This window comes from Homo sapiens, chromosome 7, assembly GCF_000001405.40.
Source record: "Homo sapiens chromosome 7, GRCh38.p14 Primary Assembly".
NCBI classification, from domain to species: Eukaryota; Metazoa; Chordata; class Mammalia; order Primates; family Hominidae; genus Homo; species Homo sapiens.
This window is the reverse complement of record NC_000007.14, coordinates 35,727,013-35,734,768: the sequence shown is the minus strand read 5'-3', so window position 1 is coordinate 35,734,768 and position 7,756 is coordinate 35,727,013. Positions and strand designations below refer to the sequence as shown.

Sequence of the window (7,756 nt, the reverse complement as noted above, 5' to 3'; positions counted from 1 at the left end):
ATACATGTATTATGTATACGTATGTGTTTTTTAATAGGAGATATCACACTCTATTCTCAGTGCTTTCGCTAGTATAGCTTTTAGTTAGAAATCTTCCTCTGACTAGCTTGACAACATTTCAATTACTTTCAATAACAGCTGGCATGTAATGAATTCTGCCAAATGTCAGGTGATTTGCACACACCCTTTCTAATGCTCATACAATTCAGTGGAGTAGGCATTGTTCGTTCTCTGCATTTTATAGACTAGGTGGAGGTGGGTTTTAGAGAAGGTGAGTGACTGTCCGGAGCCACCATCCCACTGGAGGTGGCAGGCAATCTAATCTGCCTCTGCCTGACTGAAAGCAGTGTGCTCTTCTGCTCTTCTCCAAACCACACAGCCCTCATTGTTGGCATGCTTTTAACTCTGTATCTGGGATGCATTTATTTAAATCTCTGCGGCCACTGGAAAAGAAAGTGAGAAAGAGGGAAGTAATTAGGATGCAGTTACTGCCAAAGCAACCCTTGTAATCCAATATTCTTGCTGCAGCCAGAGTGTTCCCTTTAAATGCCAGTTGGGCCATGCCTCTCCACTGCTCCAAACTTTTCCGGTGCTCCCATGAGTTTGAGGCACACCAGCCCATTCTTATTTATCCAGCCCCATGTAGTTGTACTTTCACCTGGAGCCACCCCAGCCACACAGGGCTCTTTTTGTCTTTTTCTCCCTCCTACGTGCTCTCTCCCACTCCCGGGCCCTTGCTCACCGTTCCTTTTGCTTGGAATACTCCCAGATGCCTTCCCCCCTTCTTACCCATCCATTTAACTCTGTCTCTGGCTCTCAGAACCCTGTGGCCCCCTTTAGAAAGCCTGTCCCTGCTGCGCCAACCCTCCTTACATATCCTCACATATGCCCCTGCATCCCCCTTCATGGAGGCCATTATTAGGTTGTAATTTACAGACAGATGCAATCGGATTATCTGACAATGTCTCCTCCAGTTCTAGGAAGACAGAAGACAGGAACTCTGCAGCTTTTGCTTACCTTATTCCAGGCCTTAGCACTGTTTGGACAAGAGGTAGGCATTCAAAAATAATTGTTGAAAGAATGAATCCTTCAGATCTCAGTCTTTCCTGTCACCCCCACTAGGTTAGGACCCCCTGTCCTACTCTCACAGGACCCTGAACTTTTCCTGTCTAGCCCAGTGGCTATATACTTGTCTGATTATTTGTTTATGTGTCTCCTCCCCTGAGGGTCCCATGGAGGCAGGGTCTGTGTTTACTTTCCCCACCATTTGAGTTTAGCACAGTGCCTGCAGAAAGTATGCCCTCAATAAATTTTTGTCGAATGAATGAGTTTGGGACTGACTGATTTAAAAGGGAGTGAATCAGAAGTCAGAGTGTAAATGTTACAAAAAGTGGCTCCTTATCTAGTAATTCAAACTGTATTAATTAATCATCTAGTAATATTATTAGCAAGTTCTAAGCTGAATAAAACATTATTGCTACAAACAATGGCTAATAAATCCCCTTCCTATAATAGAATCAGTTCTCTGGGCATGAAGGTAAATTACTTCTGTTCTAGGCAAAAGCTGATTTTCCAGGAGGTTAAGTTTCTGAAGTTCTCCCTTGCAGAACCCCTTCCCAGGCCCAGGCAATGTGTACACTGGGTCAGATGGTTTTTGTAAAATTGGCAAAAGGGATTTTAAATCACAATTACTTGAGGCCTCTGACTTTCCTTTTGTCATCTTGTGGGGGATTAGAGTGGCCAAGGGTATCCTGGGGCTCTGGCCAAGGGGAAGTTGAGTTGGGGACATATTTAGTTTGACTTTTGTGGGATACATTTATGTGATTCATAGACAATTCTGTGTATAGTTAAGTCATTTCTACTAGTCCCATTGTCAGAATGGCTTCTGGGAATACCCCTGCTTTCCACTGTGACAACTCACCTGGTATTGTGACACAAGGTGATGGCCAATATCAACAAGGATCCTTCTGAATCACATGCTTTGGAGCTGTAGGTGTGGAGTTATTGGTGGTGGCTTCTGTCTTATCCCTGTACTTCCTAATTTATTTTTTTCCTGAAAATGACCTTTTGGTCTTCACTCCCCCAGTCCATCCAATAGCGGTGTCAGCCTCTGATTCCCTGCCTTATCATCCTTTCAGGTATCATCTGAAATACCCGGAGGGACTTCTCTTGTGGATGAGAGGGGTACAAACGCTTTGCTTGTGGCATCAGCACAATCTCCATGGCAGAGACATCTCACTGGGCACCTTCCGTGCAAGTCACCCCTCCCTGCTTCCTTGTCCTTTTGATATCACCTGTTGGAATGTGACTCTTAGAATCCATAGGCCAAAAGGCTTGCTGCTCTCTCTTCAAGATTCAAAACAAATCTTCAAAACTGTGCCCAGAAAAAACATTATAGTAATAAAAGGAAGATAACAGAATGAGAAGGAGGCAGAGAGAGAAGAAAGGGGGAAGAATATTAAGGATGGGGTTTAAGAAGATTAGGGAAAATGATGATGATGGTAGTAGATGGATGGTTGAGAAAGATGCAGAAAAGAAAACAAATCTGAGATCTTCCTTTGCCAGCTATGCATGTGTGGATTCGGGTCACAATAGGACACTAATGAGAATCCTTATCCAGAGTTGGTTTCATGTCAGGTGCTAAGGTAAGGACATCACATGCATCATCTCTCACCTGGATCATGGTAGTCGTTTCTTAATTGGTTTCCTTGTCTCCACCCTTACCCTCCTTAAGTGTATTCTCAACCCAGCAGCCAGAGAGATTCTATTAAAACACGTGTCATGCCGTGCCACCCTTGTGCTCAAAACCCTTCAGTCTCCTACTCTCTGACCTCATTTTCCTCCACTGTGCTCCACCTTCGGTTGACTCCAGCCATACTCACTGTTCCTCAAACATTCAGGCTTGCTTCTGCCTCAGGGCCTCTGTGCAGACTGTTCCCCCTGCCTGGAAGGCTGTCCCCCTGGTGCCTACCTGTCACTTTCATGTCCATAGAGTCACCTTATCACTCAGGCTCTTGGTCACTCCATCTAAAATGAAAGCTCTCCCCAATGCTGCCTAGCTCTTTCCTTGTAACATGATATATAATTATATATAATTAAATATATACATGATATCTATTTTTTTTTTTGTCTATCTTTTTCCTCTGGAATGTAAGCTCTAGGGCAAAGATTTTGTTTGCTCACTGCTGTATCCCCTGTTCAAGGATAGTGCCTGGCACATAGTAAGAGTATACTAAATATTTGTTCAACAAATTACTTCATGAGGTAAGGAGGTAGGTGCTGTTTTTTTTTTTTTTTTTTTTGAGACAGAGTTTTGCTCTTGTCACCCAGACTAGAGCGCAGTGGCGCAATCTTGGCTCACTGCAACCTCTGCCTCCTGGGTTCAGCTATTCTCCTGCTTCAGCCTCCCGAGTAGCTGGGATTACAGGTGCCCGCCACCACCCCCGGCTAATTTTTGTATTTTTAGTAGAGATGAGTTTTCACCATGTTGGCCAGGCTGATCTCGAACTCCTGACCTCAGGTGATCTACCTGCCTCGGCCTCCCAAAGTGCTGAGATTACAGGCGCGAGCCACCACGCCCGGCTGGTGCTATTATTAAGCACATTTTATAGATGATAAAATTTGGATTTACAGGTGTAAAGTAACTTGCCCAAGATCGTATGGTTAAGTGAAAGAGCAAATGTTGAACCCAGCCATGGCTGTTTTTTCTTTTTTCTTTTTTTTTTTCTGATGGAGTTTTGCTCTGTCTCCCAGGCTAGAGTGCAGTGGCGCGATCTTGGCTCACTGCAATCTCTGCCTCTCAGGTTTCAAGCGATTCTCCTGCCTCAGCCTCCTGAGTAACTGGGATTACAGGCGTGTGCCACCATGCCTGGCTAATTTTTGTATTTTTTTTAGTAGAGATGGGATTTCACCATGTTGGTCAGGCTGGACTCGAGCTCCTGACCTCATGATCTGCCCACCTCAGCCTCCCAAAGTGCTGGGATTACATGCATGAACCACTGCGCCCGGCTAAACCATGGCTGTTTTTAAAGCCTGTGCTCATAAACACCTCACTGTCACATGGTCTTCCTCTTGCTACAAGCAGCTGAGCTTAGTATAAGAAAATAGCATTTCTCACACCAGTCTTTCTTTATGGTTAACCAGACCACTAGACCTTCAGACGGCCTTCGTGGGTTGCAGGTTGAGTGTTTGTTGACAGAAAGGGATAAAGAACAAAGTCATAATGCATGTGATATATGGGGAAGTGAAAGAACAACTTTAAGTCCATTTGGTTAAGAATAGGAATATGAACTTATGAGGCCAACCCCACCTGGGGTTTCTGGCGTGGGAAGGGGCTGCCTCATCAGTGCAGGGTCACCCATAAGCAGGCATGGGCACTGGCAGAGCAGGGGCACCAAAAGAATCCCAGTACCATTACATGGGTGATGTTGGCTATTTGATATTTTGAAAAACATCTAAAATGTGTCATTGTAGGAAAAACCAGAACTTTGCTGGACTTCTTTACAGGCATGTGCATGATGGCATTGTTTCCTACATTAAATTACGTATGGAAGCACCATCAACTTTGCAGTGCCCAGAGTCTCTGAAGATCTTAATCTGGCCCTGCCGATCATGGTTGATGGGGCAGTGAACTCATTTCATCTATCATATACTTTCAAATATGTGTGTGTGTGTGTGGGTGGGTGGGGGGTTCCCATTATGTAATAAGAGGTAAATGGGATAAGAACAGTTTCTGTGTAAATCCTTGAGGAATAATAGTGGTCTTTGGGGAAGGTTGGTCTAATTCAGTTATTAACATTGGGGTTAGTGTTCTGAAAAGCTCCTATTCCTCCTTCAACACTTTCCCTGCGGTTACCTTTGTGAAGCTTTCTTTTCCCAGCTCCCTGCTCTTGCTTCCCCCAGCAATTATCAACTCCTCTTCTGTGCCATAGGTATTATATTTATCACATTGCATCATGCTCCCTTTTATTCACTTCTGATTCCCTGTGAGGCTCAGAGCTCCTGGAAATATGTCTCTTGTTCATTATCTTATCTCATTCATCTTTGTATCTAGCACAGTCCCTGAGACCTGCTGGAGGCTCTGAGATTATGCCACAGACAGTTTAAAACCAGACTCTGGAGGCTAGGGGAGTTTCTAAGAAAAAGATGTCCTTTGGTGACTCCGCTTTTAAGACATGTCAGGTGTCTAACACTGGCCCCCCAGCAGGACAGATGAGCTTGATTGCCTCTAGAGCTTCTCATTTCTCCTCACAGCTTTTCTGCTAGGCTGCTCGGTGACTCACAGCAGGAAGAGGAGGCATTGGTGCTAAACTGTCCCCTAACACCTCCTCCACCATGCCCCAAAAAACCAAAAATGACAAAAAAAAAAAAAACTAGCTGAGATACTTTGGGTTGCCGGGCCCATCACTTTCTGCTTTTCAGTTCCTTATTCTGTAGAAGTCATGAGTTGAAATGGGAGACCTAAGTTTCCTTCAGGCTGTAAACTCTCTGAGTCTTTGATACTACTGCTGGGCAATGGTCATCTCATACTCCTGCCCTCCTCCCACTCTGCAGAGCAGATCAGGCCTGGTTCCCAAGGAACAAGACCTGCACCCACCCCAGCCCCTGGGCTGCCCTTCTGTAGCATGTCTTTCCTTGCTGTCTGCCTCTGTGCTCTCCTGCTGTACCTTTCATTCTGTGGATCAAGCCTGCTCTCAATGGCCATTTTAACCAGATTTTATCTCTGTAAAAATGGTAAGTGATAAATTTAGAACATTACATATACCATGATGCTATTTATGTGTTTTATTTTCAACTTCATGTGCTGGCCTTTTGTCTGCTTGCTCTCAGATCCATTCCAGACCATCCTCTATCTGGGCTTTGTATCCTTGGGAACTACATTTTCCAGGCTCATTTCCAGACTGGCTAAGGAGAGCCAGTGACAGACACTGGAGAATGAGAGGAGGGAAGAAGACAGGTTATGTCTCCCTTTCTCCCTGCTTCACATGGTGTCTGATAGGTTTCGTCCATGTCTCCACCTACTGTCAGATAGCCTCTTCCTCTACTGCTCCAGATTTAGCTGGAAGTGCTGCCATGGTCCCAGATTCTTCCAGTTGACCCAAGCTCCTGGGCTCTGGTAACTCTGCTTCCTCCCTCTGTCCCTCCAGCTCCAGGGTTGATAGTGGCTTCCTGCTGTTCTGTGGCCACTGAACTCCCCCACCATCTCTGTTAAATTCCCTCTGCTTGCAATGTCATATCTAGCACTGCTCTGCCTTCTGATTGCACTCTGACTAAAACACTCTGAATGTATGTGCACAATGTATATATGTGCAAAAACACAAATATATGAGTATTCATCTGAATATACATGTATGAAAGCACATAATGTATGAAGATATGTACATGTATGAAAACACACAGAAGAAGATCTAGAAGTTTACACATGAAACTGTTAAGAGTGGAGTGTGTGTCTGGGAAAGGAATGGGACTGGGCTGGTGTGGAGTTGTGAAGGAGGATCGCGGCTTTTTAAAAAGTAGCTTTATTGTGGCATCATTTACATATAAAAGACTATAGCTTTTATATGAGTTTGATTTTTTTTACAATGAACTTGTATTCACATGTTGCTTATATAATATGAAAAATAACTAGTTAAAAATATTAACAGCAGGAGTGGGCAATATATCAAGTGCTTTAGCCTAAGCTGTAATCCATGTAGGGAAAGCTCTGCAGAGATGCTGACATTCATAAATGTTACTATTTACCATGTTCCAGGCACTATGCTAGGCCTTGAAGGGCTATCAATATGGGCATGATCCCTCTCTGTGTTATCTGCAATAATTAAATACACAATTTGTGTCAACCTTTACTCATTATGAAGAAGTAAAGAGGGCAACACCAGGCCTAGTCTAGTCAGTGTAGGCTCCCTTGAGGCCATGACTCACCAGCTAACACCCAAAAGTTGAGTAAAAACAGCTTAGTTACTGGAGGGACATGCACAGGCAGTAGGGGACAGTCAAGCTGAGCTGATGCTGATTGCTTCCCTGGTTCCTGTGCTCAGGGAAGCTGTTCTAACAAGAGAGAGTTCTTTAGAAAGTGTTTCTCATTGGAACCTGGTGGGGGTGTGGGGGTCGCCAGTCTATTGGAAGTGTGTGTAAATTATGGGAGGAGTCTGTGAGGGCTGTCGCCATGCCTCCCACAGTGCTGGACCCACTGTCTGTACCCCAGGTGGCTCTCGCCTGAGAGGGGGAAGCCAGTGGCATGCATCTTGCAGTGATTGACAAGGCTGCTTGGAGGTGGCTCAAAAACTAAGGACACTCTGGAATCAACAATGATGCCAAAGGTGCTGATGTCCATCAACCCCCTCATCCTTTGATAGGAACAACTGACATTTTTCTCAGTCTTTAGTATAGTAGTGTGCAATGTTCAAGACAAGTCCTTTGTTCAGCTTCCATCCATATTTCCAGCCATAAGTTCTCCTTGAAAAGAAATGCTGAACCTTGTGGTTAAAAGGTACCCATGGCGCAGGCTTCATTCTTCCAGAGCTTGTATTTTTCCTCTTTTTTGCATAATTCAATTCAAATGTTTTTTGCTTGAGTCTTGGTTTTCCAAATTTATAGATGTTTCAGCTATGGCTGTCATCCCCTTATTTTATTATAAGTCACCAATCTCCTTATTTTATTGTAAGCCACCCATTTTTTTCATGAGATTAGGTTACTCACAAAGTAGCCCATTAATTGCAATTATAGTTTAATTACAGCATGTCCAGGTCTCTCCAGA

At 44.2% G+C, this 7,756-nt stretch overlaps 1 long non-coding RNA gene across 1 annotated transcript, besides 3 other annotated features; it reads left to right on the top strand.

The window, feature by feature from the left end:
* Positions 1–1,059: 1,059 nt before the first annotated feature.
* Positions 1,060–2,807, top strand: LOC124901615 (uncharacterized). Its single transcript, XR_007060286.1, has 2 exons — positions 1,060–2,030; positions 2,139–2,807. It is a non-coding gene; the product is annotated as an uncharacterized LOC124901615 (long non-coding RNA).
* Positions 4,227–4,476: an enhancer, noted in NCBI's record as "active region_25841". NCBI's record gives its function as "activates an Ori minimal core promoter by ATAC-STARR-seq in GM12878 lymphoblastoid cells {active_cell/tissue: GM12878}" and the evidence as "EXISTENCE:reporter gene assay evidence [ECO:0000049][PMID:35858748]".
* Positions 5,387–5,486: an enhancer, noted in NCBI's record as "active region_25840". NCBI's record gives its function as "activates an Ori minimal core promoter by ATAC-STARR-seq in GM12878 lymphoblastoid cells {active_cell/tissue: GM12878}" and the evidence as "EXISTENCE:reporter gene assay evidence [ECO:0000049][PMID:35858748]".
* Positions 5,937–6,086: an enhancer, noted in NCBI's record as "active region_25839". NCBI's record gives its function as "activates an Ori minimal core promoter by ATAC-STARR-seq in GM12878 lymphoblastoid cells {active_cell/tissue: GM12878}" and the evidence as "EXISTENCE:reporter gene assay evidence [ECO:0000049][PMID:35858748]".